This window comes from Homo sapiens, chromosome 6 (assembly GCF_000001405.40).
Source record: "Homo sapiens chromosome 6, GRCh38.p14 Primary Assembly".
Classification (NCBI taxonomy): Eukaryota; Metazoa; Chordata; class Mammalia; order Primates; family Hominidae; genus Homo; species Homo sapiens.
This window is the reverse complement of record NC_000006.12, coordinates 82,404,237-82,421,552: the sequence shown is the minus strand read 5'-3', so window position 1 is coordinate 82,421,552 and position 17,316 is coordinate 82,404,237. Positions and strand designations below refer to the sequence as shown.

Sequence of the window (17,316 nt, the reverse complement as noted above, 5' to 3'; positions counted from 1 at the left end):
ACAAGAAAAGGATTTTGTCTGGACCCTGAGCTGGTATGGCAGGTATCATGAAGGGAAGGGACTCTAGATTTCTAATTTTTGATTAGCTTACCTGAAGGGTTTGAGAAAGTTCAATAGGCACTCCTGGTGAAGGACTGGGGAAAGCTACAGGTGATTACATACCATAGATCTACATCCATATTCATTTAGCCTCATGTGTTTAGAAGACACCTCCAGGCCAGATGTGATGGCTTGTACCTGTAATCCCAGCTACTCAGGAGGCTGAGGCAGGAAGATCCCTCAAGCCCAGGAGTTCGAGGCTGCAATGAGCTATGCTCATGCCACTGCACTCCAGCCTGGGTGACAGAGCAAGACCCAGTCTCCTAAATTAAATTAAACTAAAACAAGTCATCTCTATTTTCTTCTGAGTATAACATTTACAGTAATATAAAAACACAGTTTGACTACAATGAGATATCACTTACTACCCATTAGGATGGCTACTATCAAAATACCCCAAAAATAACAAGTGTTGCCAAGGATGTGGAAAAATTAGAACACTAGTGTACTACTGGTAGGAATGTAAAATGGTATGGCCTCTGTGGAAAATATATGGTGGTTCCTCAAAAAATTAAAAATAGAATTACCATATGATCCAGCAATTCCACTTCTGGATATATAACCCAAAGAATTCAAAACAGGTTCTTGAAGATATATTTGTACTTCCATGTTCATAGCAGCATTATTCATAAAAGTTAAAATGTGGAAGCAACCCAGGTGTCCACTGGCAGATAAATGGATAAGCAAAATGTGATATATACATCAATAGAATACTGTTCAGCCTTAAAAAGAGAATACTATTCAGCCTTAAAAAGAAAGAAACTTGGCCGGGCGAGGTGGCTCATGCCTGTAATCCCAGCACTTTGGGAGGCCAAGCAGGTGGATTACTTGAGGTCAGGAGTTCGAAACCAGCCTGGCCAGCATAGTGAATCCTGTCTCTACTAAAAATACAAAAAATTAGGTGGGCGTAGTGGCATGCACTTGTAATCCCAGCTATTTGGGAGGCTAAGGCAGGAGAATCACTTGAACCCATCAGAGTGGAGCTTGCAGTGAACCGAGATCCTGCCACTGTACTCCCACCCGGGTGACAGAGTGAGACTCCGTCTTAAAAAAAAAAAAAAAAAAAGAAAAAAGACATATTTATTCTACTATGTATCATATCACCCACCTCATCATCATTACTATTATTTTCATATTATGAATCATAAAACATTTCATATAGTATGAAAACAGGGATTTTTTAGGTCTCTTGATGACTGTTGTATCCTCAGTGCCTAGAACAATGTCTGGCATATGGTAGGCATCCCATAAATATATGTTGAATAAATGAGCAAACTAAAGATAGTGTCTCCTTTTAAAGAAAGTGTCTCCTTTAAAGTGTCTCCTTTGATGTTTCTGTTTTGGCAGGGAGTAAGCAAACAAGGAGACAAACATGAGCTTGGCTAGACAACTGAAAACTCATTACTTTGTGACTCAATTCAGCCTATCCTATTTCGTAGGCATCTGAGTCTGGTTGTAGTTTGCTCAAAAATGTGTGTGCTTGTTGTGTGCAGAGGGATTTTTTTAATCTACCAGCATAAAACCTCAAATGACATCTCTTCATTTTAGGACTAGGAGCCAAACCAAGTTAAAGATGGAAAGAAATTAATAACTTTAACATCTGAAAGCAAAAGAGTTCATATCTGAGAGACATAAAAAAGTTCTGAGGTCACTTTTTCTCCTTTACCTTCCTTTTTCATTGCTGGAGGTGCTCTGCTTGGTTAACAAGTGGAATTTATCAAGGTGGATTTGACATTGTACATGATTTCCACTGTGTATAACTCAGCAGTGGAGGGAGGGAGGTGATGGGTAGTTTTTCTACTTAGCTTAGGAGAATGTCCCATTTGTCATCTGCAATACTTTAGTGGCTTTCCTCTGGAAGTGTATTCTGCAGATGGGGCAATGAGATTCATGACAGGCTTTAGGAGAGTGTTGCCAGCAAGAATTACCCAAACTATATCCTCCGGGGACTGAACATAAGCTCATGTCTGCAAGAAATAAAATCCTGGAGTGACTGGGCCCACCAAAGAGTGAACCACATGAGGAGATCTGAGTGAAATAACAGTTGGTGTGAAAATACTTCCATTCTGCTGAGGTTAAGTCTGAACTGATAGGTTCTCTCAGTTAGAATGTGAACAAGAGCTGTTTCGGTTTTGCAGCAGACCTTAAAAAAGTAAATGGACAAGAGATAAAAGGAAATCTTAAAAAGCCAGTTCCCGAGCACAGTAACTATGCACTTCTGAGAACTAAAACTCAACCCAATTATTGGTCTATTGGCTATACAAAGACAAAACCTTCAAGATTTGACTAATTTGGATGCCTTCATAAGGTAACAGTTTCTGAGATCACTGTAGAAAGAACCAGCAGAGATCTTGCTTGCTATAAAAATAGGCTTGAGTGGGGGCTTTCAAAAAGATTAGAAGCAAGTTAAAATCTGTTGCCCTTTTTCTGTTATTCATGGCTGATATTTGATAGATAAGTTTATTCCAGCCAACAACAGGCCCAACCTTATTAAAACAGGCCCAATCCTTGTGGCAATTTTTTTCCCCTATGGCATAGCCCAATAATTTGCATTTTAAAAATGTGTTTGTTTTTGTTAAAAATTGTAACTATGAAATAAAACACATGTAGCAAAGTGTTGCATTTTACATATTTCAGAAAGTTCCTTCATGCCCCTCCCAGTCATAATCACTATTCTGATTTTCTTCGTGAAATATTAGTTTTGCTTGCTCTTGAATTTGCATTTTTAATAAACACTCCAAGGAATTCTTATGTACATTGAAATCTGGGAAACACTGACCTGAAGCTTTGAATATAAAGCAAAACAGAAATCTTTGATTGGGCCCTTTAAATAAAACAAAGCACAAAATCCATGTGTTTGGATTGATCTATAGTGGGGTGATCACAAATCAATATTTTCCATTTCATCATGAAGGCCCTGCAAGAAAATAAAATACAGCTTTGTGCCTGGACTAATATTGATGTCAAATATCAGAGAGGTTCACCTGAAGCCAGATGCCTACAAATTTCTATTATCATAAATAGACCATGATGCTTCCTGGACTCAGAGTAAACCTTCTTTTGCGTAGGCAGGAAATTCACATTCAAGTCATATATTCTCTCTGTCAGCTGTGGTATATTTTCCTTATTCATTCTAGATCTGTCATTTTCAGTCTTATAGGTAAACTTTATGGTTTACTGTACTGTAATTTTAATATGGAATGCAATTTTACCAGGTTGTAGGAGGTAGTACACCTTTCAATTAATCCAAATAAAGCTGTACATATTAAAATTGGAACTCTCCATATCCGTTTTATGGTTCATACAATTTTATTTTTGTTTAATAAAGAAAATAATATTTTGATGTACTTTGGCCATCTTTCCCTATCCTTTGAGCGGTATCTTATAATACCACGTGATTCTTCCAGGACATTGTCAGGAGTCCTTTTCGAATTTCTGGACTAGCTTTTGATTACCTGTTTGCCTGATAATCTATTTACTTCTTCTCAACTCACAGTGACTACTCAATGCATTTAAGTCTTCCTTGGAACTTTCGAGTGATCTAAATCAACGTTTTTCAAATTAGATGGACTTTTGAACAAGGCTACATACATTAAGTTCTTTTATCTCCCATTGTGAGTTGCAACAGACCCAGCCACTCTCAAGAACGTCTATACAGTAATGGCCTTTGATACTGTTTGTCAATGCTTATAAGTGATTATCTAAATATTTTCATTACTTGTGGTCTCCATCACCATATTTTTACAAGGAGGCACAGCTTCCATGGATATAGAGGACAGAGTTAAAAAGAATCATCAAATCATCTCAAAGAAAAGTTCACTCCAACGCTGATTCCAACAGAATCCTTGTGATACATGCAAATGCTTTAAGTCAGGCCATGGAATCTATGCTATTCTAATGACAGACTGAAAATTCTGCACCAACAATTTATATTTCTTTCCTTCTTGCCAATTAAATCCTATAAAGCAAAACTGTGATTTATGAGTGTGGAATTTCTAATGCTAAAACTTATACACATATACGTATCTGGTACCTATAGATCTATATAGATATTTCTATTCACTTTTAAAAAGACTACTTTACATTATGGTGCAGCAAGTGAACTCATTTTGCTATTAGTTACACCAGCACAAGGCTAAGATGAGAAAAATTAGTATCAACAACTTTCCCAGAAACTAAAACTGGCTTTATGTTTTCAAATACAAGAATAATATAGGTACATTATAAAATATAGGAAATATGGAAAAGTAGAAATAATAAAAAAGTGTATTTATCCACTCATGAACAGCAACTGATGTCATTATGATCCATTTCCTTCTATGTTTTTTCTCCCTGCGCCTTTGGCCTGGTTGTGATCATTTGGCAATCTGCTAATTTCATTTGCTATTTTACCATGATACTCTCCATTTTACCAAGGTGCTTCAAAACATGATTAATTACATATTTTATTGTGTTAATATAACGTAGTTGAATTTACCATTTGTCTTCCTTTGAGCGTTCAGCCTGTTTCAAACTTTTTATTGCTATAAGTAAAACTACGATGAACATCTTTATTCATAAGGCTTCTATTTTTTCTGATTATTTCCTATACTGGATACCATGAAAAATTCTTGCAGGTCAAAGAGAATGATCAACTTAAGAGTGTATATTGCCAGTTTTTCCCCTAAAGAGTTACATCAAACAACACATTTGCCAGGAGCACATCCTTTTTGTTTCTATTATTGATTGAACCCTTAAAACCCAACCTTAGCAAGCTCCTGTCTAGAATCCTTATACAGGAAATTGGTTACACTCTCCTCACTGTCCAGGCTCACCTAACAAAGAAACTAGATGGAGAAAAAAAATAGAGGAAAAATAAAGGAGAAAAGTAAAAAGAGGAAGTAAAAGCAGAGAGAAAGGAGTGAGGGAGAAAGGCATGCAGGACGGCAGGAAGAATGGACTTTTATAAAGGAAACTGAATCTGCAAGTTTTCCCCACGAAGATAGAGTTTACACAAAGTAGTTCTTCTCAACCTTTTCTGCCAGTTCAGGACCAGGGATTTATTTGTCAAAAAAAGAGGTTTCAACTCCTCTTCTTCCTAAATAGCACTGTTCCCTCCTTAACCCTAAGCTTATAAAAACAAAAACACTTAAAATTAGCCCATTTTCTCCTTTTGCCAGGGTACATGAGTTTTCATTGCATCATCTCACTTGATTCTCCAGTTATTATGAGGTAGATATGATTACCCCAAGTCTACACATGAATAAACAAACTCAGAGAAGTTAAGCGGGTTCTCCTGTGTCCATCTGTAAATAGTAGGACCAGCTCTCCCATCCAGGTTTTGTAACTTTAATTTTACTCTGCTCCAAAATTTCTATGGCTTCCTGGTTTCTATTCACTTATCTGATTTCTCATGCTGGTATTGCCCTGGCATTCTTGGATTTTTGCCTGGGCTTTGTTTTTCTAGTCTGGGCTTCTTGTCTAGTTCCAACTGGTTCACATTGCTACTGCCTACTTCCCAACCTGCCAATTTGCCAACTTTGTATTATTGAAGAATGTGTTCATTTAAGAAAATTCCTTTCAGTATATTTTAGACAATGAAAAAACTTTATTAGAATTTCAAATATTTCCCCCTAAATGTAACCACTGGCTTCCTGTTCACTTATAGGTCTGACCTATTCCTCCACCAAGAGTTTCTAGTGTACCTACACCACCATGTTGGGTAAAGAAGAGTGGTTCTTCTTTGATGCCCTGTAAATTCTCCACACTGATCCAGTTGCTATACCATTGTAGAAAAAACTGCTAATTGCTTCCCGGATGTCCTGTTCTTCATGGACACATAGTTAGATTACATTTCCCATATAACTGAGTTCTGGCTGTTGGGATGTGAGTGAAAGTCATAAGTGCCACTTCCAGGCCTGGAAAAGTCTATTCTTCATATTTGTTTTCTTTTCACTGGCTTGAAGCAGACTTTTGAAGCCACATGTTGAAAATGACAGAGTCACAGATGAAAAGGATCTGAATTCCTGCTGAAAAGAGAGCCAGCCGTCAATGAGAAAAACCCATTTTAGACCTTATACAAGCAAGAAATTGCCCTCTTTTTTGTTTCATTATACATTTGGGGGTTTATATGTTTCACCAATTAGCCTACCCTAGCTAGCATAGCCATGAACATCTCTGTATAAGAATATTGCTAATTAAGGGGTGCCTCTTTGGTGTTGTGATTTGACTATAAAGCAGAATTAAATACACTCACACGTGAGAATTTTCAAAAAAGTTTGTGTATGTAAATGTGCATATTTGCGTGTGTGCATGTGTGTGCGTGGTTTTTAAAAACCAGTGCCATACAGTTCCTGGAAAGCTTTTAATCTATAAAGCAATGCCCTATATTTCTGCTTTGCCTTTTAAAAATGGCATGTAGGTTGCAGTGCACTTAACAGAATCTTATCCCAGGGTTGGAGGGGTGCAGAGTCTTGGAAGAGTAGAGTCTCATCACCCAATCCACAGAAGCACTTCTAGGGCAATCCCAACCACCTGCCAGAAAACCCACAGAGTCACCCACCAGGTAGGACGGCTAAGGAAGAATGGCCCCACAACCCCTCCCACTGCTGCTCCTCCAGCAGCAGAGTGTCATGAGCCTGACAAAGCATTCTTCAGGCTGCTGGAGATGTGATGAAGGATTAATCGAGAGGCTTTTGATGACTTATGAGATGTCTGTAGGACTTAGAAGAATGTGAGAAACACACAGTGACTTCCAGTGTCCACGTCCAGCAAACTAGAAGACTGGGCTGGGGGATGGGGTGGGGGCATTAACAGAAATAAAGAAGTTGGAAGGCAGAGGCGTTTGTTCTGAGAGGAAGACAATGTGTTCCACTTTGGTGCTGTTGATCTTGGGGCCAGCAGCCACTCCTGTTTCAGGCAGTCAGTAAGTGTCCTTTTCTCTCCTCTTTAGGCCATCCATCCTCTGTTATCTGTCCTTGGCCAAAATCCCTTATCTCTGCTTTTGATGAGTGTTTAGCACATCACTGAGTGATCCTGCATGCATTTCTAAGTATGGATACCCTTTTGGCGATGCTTTGCCAGTAACTGAAACTAAAAATAATAATAATAATAAAAAGCAAAGGAAAAGCAGCCAAGTATTATATATCCATATCTTATTTAATCCCATCCTCTTTAAAAAAATTTTTTTATAGATTCAATCAACTATCTGCCTGGTTCTTAGGCTGAAGCATAGTCTATACCATTTCTTCTATCATGCTTAGGCCGTGATACATTTTTGGGTTTATTTGTTTTATGAGTTAGCCTGCCTTATGTAGGACAATCATGAACATTTCTGCATAGCAACATTGATTAAAGAACAACTAACAGGTCTAAGTTGATAATTGAGATATTCACTAAAGTAATTGCATCATCATTTCAGCTGAGTTGTGGGCAGGAAAAAAACCCTCCTGATTCTAGATAAATAAAAAATTTCACTTAAAAAGTAATTTTTGTTTCTTAGGTTACAGCTCTAAATATTCTTGAAACATCTCAACTCTGAGCTTTTCTCCAGCAGCCTTTGCCTTGATCCACTCCCAGGTTCGTACCCTAAGGCATCATCACCTGAAACAGCTTCAATATCCTACTATGATCACAGTCCTTATCCTTCCAAAAATCTCACTCCATTGCTCCTGACATATTTTATCTTTGAACTCATGAAAGTTGCCAATGTGCTGTGATCACAGGTCATCCTCCATTCCCCTGCACCAGCCTGGGACCCCTCTCTCTCCCAGTTTCTTCTGATCCAGCCTAGACTTGGTGGCACATTGTTTCAGCACATTTCTTCTCAGAATCAATGCCTCTGCTCAAGCCCTGCTAATTGAGGACCTTTCTCAGATCTATGCCCCTATGGCCAGACTCTCGCAAACTAATGCAGAAATTCATGCTAAAAATATACTGCCTCTCACCTCAGCCAAGCTCCCTGGGCCACTGAGCCACCGAGCCACCGAGCCACCTTTTGGTTGATGAGCTGTCTTTCCCATTCCCTTCAGTGGCTGTTCCTAACCTCCAACACTCTCCCTAGACACCATATCCCATCCTGAAACTCTTCTCCCTCAGCAGATGATATTTCTCATATTTCATAGGGAAAAAAATGGTGTCTTTTAGGAGAGGACTTTCTCACACTCCTTTCCCCACACAGACAGATGTGTCTATAACTGCTCCATTTTTTCCTCATGTCCTGCAGAAAGAAACTATTACCTAAGACTGGTCCCTCCATCTATTCTTCTCCCAATTACTCAAGGTCTCTCCATTGTCATTATCTCTTCTCTTGCTTACATCATCAATTTTCTCTCAACTGGATCCTCCCCTCAGCTTCCTTCATTTTCAAGTTTCTCCCATAAAAAAGAAGCTACCCTTGATATATTCTTACTCTTTCTCGTCTCAATCAAGTAAAAGTTGTTTGTGCTTTCTATCTCCACATCCTGCTATTAATCCCTCAGTCTTTTGCAGTTTGCATCTACTTTAACTATACTATTGAAATTACTATTGCTAAGATAATTTCAATAATCTCCAAGTTTCTCAATTTAAAGACCAGTTTCTCATTCTCTTCCTTGACCTCCCTGCAGTAGCTGAGGCTCCTGACCACTCTCACCCTCTTCAAATGATCTCTCCTGGAGTCTAGAATAACAGCCTCCTTTGTTTCTCTTACCTCTCTGATCAGTCTTTTTGAGCCTGCTTCCTGGACTCTTCTTCCTACCCATGTTAAAAAAAAATGTTTTAAAACCAAACAATACCAACAACAAGAAGAATTCTACATTTGGTCCCCTTCTCCTCTCCCTCTTTGTACTCTTAACTGTCACTTGGTCACAGATCTGACTTCCACTGCCAATGCTCCAGCTCAGGGGGGTGTGAATATACTGTTGGATTGGGAACTGGTCACCCTTAGAATAAAATCCTTACTCCTCAATATGATTCCAAGCTCCTTAATGACCTGGCCTCTGAGGACCTCTCCACCATCCTCTGACCTCTCCCCTCTTTATGTCATAAGTGCCAGGAAAAAAAGATGAACGGAAGTAGCTACTGTTTACGGGACATTTGTCATGTACAGTACAGGTGAGTGGCTAAGAGCTAACTTAGAAGCCAGGAAACCTAAGTTCAGATCCTGGTCTGGCAGTTTGTAGCTATGGGACCATGAGCTCATTAAAAAGATCCCTTTGTGCTCTGCTTCCTCATTTGCAAAACAGAAATGATAATAGTAGCTACCTCATAGAGCACTATGAATATCTGTAAAATGATTAGAATTGTAGCTGGCGTGTAGCATGTATATCAAACAAACATTACTGGCCACATGGTCATTATGTCAGGTAATTTGCAAACAATGGTTTATCTCCAGGATTGAATGACATTATGAGTACCACATTCCTAAGGTAGATGCCAGAGACTTGCTTTGCCTCACCTCTCTTGCAGATAGGCATGTGATAAAGACACAGTGCAAGACTTTGATTCTAAAGAGAGCAAAGTGTAGATGCAGGCATTGTGTAGAATCCATTTTTTGATGAGAATAGACAGTGGAGGTTCTGGTGGTTAATGCCCAGTGTTAGCCATACACAGCATGGTGTCTGTGCCCAGAGATGGCAATGGTGCTTTTGCTGAAGCAGCCCTGGGGTACAGTCCAGGCATTTTATCTGGCTGGGTACCCTCATAGCCCAACCCCCCAGAGACTCTGTGATCTCTGTGGACTATCCAGAATATCCTTTAATGACTGACTTTCCTGCTTAAACTAAATATGGTGGGACCTAGTGTTGGCAACTAATAACCCTGGTTGTTCTTTTGAGTAATAAGTTCATCAATATATGTTTATTTTTAAATGGTTCCTGTTGTTTCTAAAACAAACAAAGTGCTACAACAGAAAGTTGCCTGTTGGCTCGGATGTTCTCTGCATTACTGGGGACTGGAGTTCTGCCACCTCTATTGCTCAGATTCCCTTGTCAGGTGTCTGCAGAGTAGTCTTGTCAATGGGAGGCAATGGCAGGAGATGTAAGGTGGCATAAAGGGATAAGCCACTTTTCTTTTCCTTCTCTGTTTCTGACCTTGTCCTAGGCGGTAACAACAGCAGTAGGTATGTGTGAGGTCCAGGCTTCTTGCTCTAGAAGCATGGTTTCAGAGGTGACGGAAGCAGTGCACACTCTGGCAGCCTTGGATCTCATTCCAACAACAGCTGTGGTGGGCGCAGGTAACTCTTGAGTTTCTTGACTCCTGGCTTTCCGCAAGGTAGTAGCTGTTGTGGTTCCAATGGGCCCACAGCATGGGTGGATACTCCAGTAACCCTAGTTACAGTGAGTGTGGACTCTGAGTAACAGCATTCTCCCCTTTACTTCCAGGCTTATGTGCTAGTGACTTCATATTGTCATCAATCTCTGGGTAACTGCACCACCTTCTTTTTTGCATCTCCAGCCTTTCCGACATTTTGTAACCAATTTGCCATATTAAGTAACTTCTGTTTAAAATACCTAGAGGGGCTTCTGTCTCCATGACTGACATAAGAACCAAAGAATATACTTTTTTTTCTGAATTCTCAGGAACATTGTTATTTGTGATTATACTTCCTCAAGGAAAAATTGTTTTTAAAGTAATATTTGAATAATCATTCATTGAACGGGAATGCTAGCTCTATACTACGTAAATAATTCATATATGATTTATGAAGCTTAAAAGCTTTGATTTCATCAGATAATGATGGTTGAAGACAGACTATCTGGGTTCAAAACTTGGCTTTAGCACTTGCTTGTGTGAACTTGAGTAAGTCATCGAATTTCTCTCTACGTTTTCATCTATAATATGGAGCTAACTTTAGTGTCTAGTTGCATAATTGCTCTGACAATGAAATGTGTCAATATATGTAAGCTTCTCAGGACAGTCCCTGGCATATTGCAATCACTCAGTAAATGTTAGGTGTGCTGTTATTGTTATTGCTGTGGTTTAGATATGCTGTGTTTGTTCCCATCAAAACTCACATTGAAATTTGATCCCCAATGTGGCAGTGTCGGGAGGTGGGGCCTAGGGGAAGTGTTTTAGTCTTGGGGGTGGGTCTCTCATAAATAGCTTGGTGCTGTTCTTGCAGTAGTGAGTGAGTTCTTGCTCTGGCAAGACTGGATTAGGTCTCATGGGACTAGATTAGTTCCTGTAAGACTGAGCTGTTAGGAAGCCAGGATGCCCCTTGGGTTTTGTCTCTTCAAATGTGTCGGTTTCCCCTGTGACCTTCACCATGTTGTGACGCATCAGGAAAGCCCTCACCAGATGTCAGGGCCATACTCTTGAACTTCTCAGCCTGCAGAACTGTGAACTAAAGAAATCTTTTTTCTTTATAAATTACCCAGTCTCAGGTATTCTGTTACAACAAACCATGCTGATTTTTCCTGAGGCAAAAAGAAAGAAGTCAAAATCTTTTAAAAATCCAAACAAATGATGAATAAATTATCTTAAATCTAAAGTAAAAATAGTCAAAAGATAAGTGGTTGCACCAGTTGGGAGAAGGAATTTACAGGCAGAACTCAGAGGATTTTTAGGACAGTGCAGGTATTCTGTATGATACACAATGGTGGATCCATGTCATTTAAAGGCGAGGAAACTAAGACACAGAGAGTTAAGTAGCTCACCCACGGTGATACAGACACACTAGAAAGAGGTGGAGCAGGGACTTGAACCCAGTGTAGTATGATTCCAGGTCCCGCGATCAGCCTCTCCGTGTACTCTCATATATGTCTCTTTCACAAAACAATTTGCTGCTATCTCTTCTTATACACCAAACCCAAGAGGCTTCTCTTCCATTTTCTTAATCCTAAGACAAATGTTCAAAACTATAAACTGCTTCTCTGTCTCATATTAAGTAATAACAGTTCTGACATTCTGGACATTGATTTAGATGTCTCCTTTTATCTCTATGTTCTTTGGAAGTGTCTATAATTATAATGCTTATACACTCAGACAAATATATGAGACATGGTTAGCAAGAGAGAGATAAATTTTCTCCTGGTCTCTATTATATTTTCATAGTGTTAAGAAAAATGCAGAGGACAGATAATGAAGCAAGGCAAGGAATTTGGGGAGGAAGCTTCTTTGATGATTTTTGGCTGAATCACCAGACAACAAATCAGATCTTGACTATCCTGGCCTGCCTAGATTTCTAAATCTTGGAGCAAAAAGAGAAGTAATGGTTAACACTGAGGTGCAACAGTACAGTAGTCCCCTCTTATCTTCAGTTTCATTTTCTGCTCAGTTACCCATGGTCAGCCTTGGTCTGAAAATATTAAATGGAAAATTCCAAAAATAAAAAATTCATAAGTTTTAAATTGCATGTTATTCTGAGTAGCCTGATGAAATCTTGTGCCATCTTGCTCCATCCCGTGAATCATCCTTTTTTCCAGTATATTTACATTGTATACACTACCTGTCCATTAGTCACTTAACAGTCATGTCAGTTATCAGATCCACTTTTGTGGTATGGTAGTGCTTACGTGCTTGTGTTCAAGTTAGCCTTATTTTACTTAATAATGGCCCAAACATGCAAGAGTAGTGATGCTGGCATTTTGTAATAATTGTTCTATTTTATGATTAGTTATTGCTGTTACTCTATTACAGTGCCTAATTAATAAACATTATCATAGGTATGCATATATAGGAAAAAAAACATATTATATACAGGGTTTGGTACTATCTGAGGTTTCAGGCATCCACTGGGGGTCTTGGAATGTATTCCCAGTGGATAAGGGGACACTACTGTGTAAAGCATGCGATATACATCTAATCCACACAGTGTCACAGATTGGTAATGGACGACTGTGTTGAATTATTAAAGTGTTTTAATTAGGTTTTCCTGCACTTCCAATAATAACTGTCCTTGGATAAGATACGCAATGAGTCTGCCTTATAATAATTCCACAGTATAGAACAATTAGAAGCACTGTTAGAACAATAAGCTAAGTTGTTTACATATTAGATACTGTTAGCATACATTATTACTGAAACAAAAATGCCTGTATAAAGATACTAGAAACACATTAAGATAAGTTGATGGGTAAACTCTAACTCTATGTTCTTGTTTTCACATTCTTTTGGGTATGAGTGCCTTCCTTTACTAACTTATTTACTTGCAAATAATTTAATTAGACAATTTTAGTTGTATTGGGTTTTGCTTTCTTCAAGTTGGGAGTGTAATGGAGGCATGTCCAGCTCCATATTCAGGCCTTTTCCTTATGGGAGATCTCTAGGATAGTAAGTAATGGCCATTTGTCACTCTCACTTATCATTGTTTGTCAGGCTTCAAGTCAGCAGGCAGAGAGGTAAGACAAGTGACAAAACCATCTTTCAAGAACTTCTGAGACTGTTCATTGCTAGTGGCAATGTGTGAAAGAGCTGCCAGTGCCTTGGGGAAAAGCAGGGAGCTTCCCATTTAGAAACAACTAGTGGATCACCCAAAGGCCATCCTCTCTGTGGCTTCCAAGAAGAACATGGACAAGAAGCAAGGAAATCTGTTTAAATTTGATGTTTGTTCCAAATGTCATTTTTGGTGATATAATTTTGAAGGAAGAAATTTCATTGTGATGGAAGTTAAAACACTTAGAAGACAGGAGAGCATAAAAGAAATGCAAAAATTTACATTACCAAGGTACCTCCAACATTCCAAATTTAAAGTACTTTTCAGTCTTGAAATAAGTGCAGTTCCTATTGACCAAACAAAGAGACAGATTTGGTTCTGGACCAAATGGTTCTGAACTCTTTTATTTTAATCATACTAAGTAAGATGCACAGTACCTGTTTTAAATATATATATATATACACACACACACACACACACACACACAATATATATACATACACATATATATAATATATATACATACACATATATATATAATATATATACATACACATATATATATATAAAATCTCCAATATTTATTTGTGACTACCATAATATTGGAACAGAAATTCTCACAAACCTTATGCGGCTTGAAAAACATTTTTAAAAATTAACTTGAATTAACAATATACTTAAAATGAGACTTCCGAAAAGATAGATCTTTCACTTTTAAATCCATTTTTATTGTCCTTACAAGGTGCCTTAATTATAATTAGAATCTTTTATGGCTATTTAATATCTTTTTCTCTTACAACATTTGCACTTGTCTTTTTTGTATAATAGTGTATAATAATATCACATTACATTAATCTTCAAAGTGATTGCAAAGAACTTCATGATGAAGATTAGCTTGTTCTATGTTGATTTCTATTTGTTGTTGATATCTGACTAAAAGCATCATACTATAACAAAGGTACCAAGTTATTCACTCTGAATAAAAGATTTGCCTTAGACATTGTTTATTGAACATCTCTCTCTTCTATCTCATCTCTGTATTGAGCCATTGGTCCTAACAGTATTGAGTTCTCGAAAAGTAATTATAATTTTTGTTGTTTTATGTTCTTCACCCATCACTGTATTTTACTACTCAATATGATAACTTCTATACTACATTGAGAATGCTGATAATATCAACCCTACTTGAAAAGCCTACATAATATGTAGTATATATATCTATATATACTACTATTTTTCCTGTTCATGCTTATTTTTAGCTAAGCTTTCTAATTACTAAAAATCTAAAGCCAGTTTATCTCTGAAATCAGATTAACACAGTTATAATTACCCACTGTTTATATATTGCAATTTTAAAAATCCATAGCCATATTCACGTCTAAAAAAATAGTGTCTTAAAAGGCACAGGGCCCATGGCTGTATCTCGCCATGTGTGACATGATCATCTCTGGTGTTCTAACATGACTTATATGGAAATTAGAGGGCAAGATATATTAGTGCAAACAAAAGTAAGAATCCCGTGAACCAGGAATCTGGGTTCTAATTTTGATTTTGTCACTTAATAGCATTATGACTCTTGGAAAATTCTGTTTTTACATCTGTAAAACTGGAATAATACTTCTTATTTCACTAAGTTTTTTGAGGCTTATATGAGTTATGACATTGTCCAATATCCTGCATGGCTTCAAATAAGTGGTCAATACATGTTAATTTCCTTTCTTCCTTTTGAGCTCCAGTTTCCTCATCTGTAAATCTGCTATAATATCTCTACAGCCAAGTAGCATACTGAAGCTGTCTTGTACCAGCTCATGGGAGCTAACTGTTAAATTTTAGGAACTTGGCAAGCCTTTTTCAAAAAAATTAAATTATATAAACCTACAATTAAGTAAATTATATTAAAAACAACGGCTACAAATATTCAAAATTCATTACTTCCTAATTATTTTACTACATATTTCTATTATTTAGGCTGTCAAGTTTATTTACATGTATCTGTGTGGTAGAAATACTACAAAAACAATGGCACATTCCGTGAAGTAACGTTGGAAGCTTGAAATGGTGGGAATATTTACACCACAAAGACTGTCAAAAGTTTTAAATCAGGGCTTTTTCCCCTAGAGAACCAGTTACTAAACATTTATGTGAGTGTTCCATATACCTAACTGATTTTGAAATGGAAAAGCACTCCATACATATAATTTTAGAAGTTCTTTCCAAGTTTAAAATTCGAATGTTCCTATAATCATGTTGAAATACTGTGCAATAAGAGAAATGGATGCTATTAGTGATCATGGAAACAACAGTAGTTAATAGCATGCTAACTGTAGCTTGGGACAGGTGGTCCTGAAGACTGGGTATAAAAAGTGATTGGCCCCTTGGATTTAAATAAATATTTAAAATGTGACCATAAGCATTTGGCAGCCATGTATTTCAAGAAGTAAGCCCTGCACATGGCCCTAAATATCATTTAGTCTCTCATTCTAATTATAATCTGTAATTCACTAGCTCTACTTTTAGAGCAGACATGACAATACTTGCATGTCTATTCTTTATGGTGTCATAATGTGCATTTATAAGGTGCCTTATTGATAAATAATTGTATCTGAGCACCCACAGCCTTAAAACCTAATTCCATAAGACATAAATTCTCAAATGAAGTAAAAGGTTTTTACCCTAAAAATATTTTTTAATTATTTAAGACCATGTTACCCACAAAGAATGGGTTGTTTACTCCAAAGTTCCAAGGGAAAAAAGAACTAAATATGGACTATAAAATACATGCTAGTGATGGAGTGTCATTATTTGCAGTATTCTTTCTTATTAGTGCTAAGAAAGCTCTTAAATCTCATAAACCTCTACTTTGAAGTAGCTGTTTACAACTAAGCCCTTTTTCATCTTGAAGTTAACATAAGGTTGAATCTGCTAAAAAACAAGTAATCTCAGGATGCCAACTTTAAAATAATAAAAAATCATAAATTGTAATGTTTAGAGGAAGTACTATAAGTCATTTCAAAAATAGAATCTGGAAAATATAAAGAATAAAAAGCAGGTTAACATTTGATTAATATTTCTAGCAATGATTTTATCTCATACTAAAATTTTTACTTATGCAAGAGAATAGTCTCTATTACAAATTACTTTATTATGAGGAAATCTATTCTAACTTGATTATATGATTTCAGAGGATATGAGAAAATAATATTTTATTGATAAATTGTACTCCTAAATTTTATATTTTGCTTTTAAATTATTAAACTATTTTTCGATCCACATTTTTTCGTGTATTAGTGCACAGTGTCCTTTTTAACATTATAATTATGAGACTGGGTATGGTCTCTATTGCTTACTGATCATGAATAAATTAATATAATTCTTCTGATTACTTTCTTGCACTCACAAAAATAAGGAATAACAAAACCCAAGAAGCAGTTCTAGAAAGGTTTTCATCAAGCAAAAGTTGATTTCCAAGGATGTTCCTATTTAAGATGATATTATACTTCTTTTCATATGAGAAAGTATGGTATGGTAAACTTATACAGAGGTTCCAAATGCCATCAAGAGAACAGTCCTTCTCGAGACTATTAACTTTTCACTAAAACACAGAACATGGAAACAAATGAACATTCACATCACTTAACACTGAGATCAGACTATGGAAATAATCTATTCAAATTGCAAGGAATCATGAGCTGGATTGAGGAAAATTTAAGTAAGCCTCAACTCACATGAAATGAAGAACATTTAGAAAATAATACAAGATTTTAAAAACCCCCTCAACTGCACCCCATTTGTCACTAGCCACAAAGAATGAGAAAAACCAGTCAGTTCTTCATGTTTCCTCCACCCCAGCCTTCACACACACACATCCTGTATCCCAATAAAGA

At 37.2% G+C, this 17,316-nt stretch overlaps 1 long non-coding RNA gene across 1 annotated transcript; it reads right to left on the bottom strand.

The window, feature by feature from the left end:
• Window positions 1-5,666: 5,666 nt before the first annotated feature.
• LOC124901352 (uncharacterized) lies at window positions 5,667-13,831 on the bottom strand. The gene is made up of 2 exons (XR_007059664.1): window positions 8,768-13,831; window positions 5,667-6,107 (listed from the first exon to the last, which is right to left on the bottom strand). It is a non-coding gene; the product is annotated as an uncharacterized LOC124901352 (long non-coding RNA).
• Between the last annotated feature and the right edge of the window lie 3,485 nt (window positions 13,832-17,316).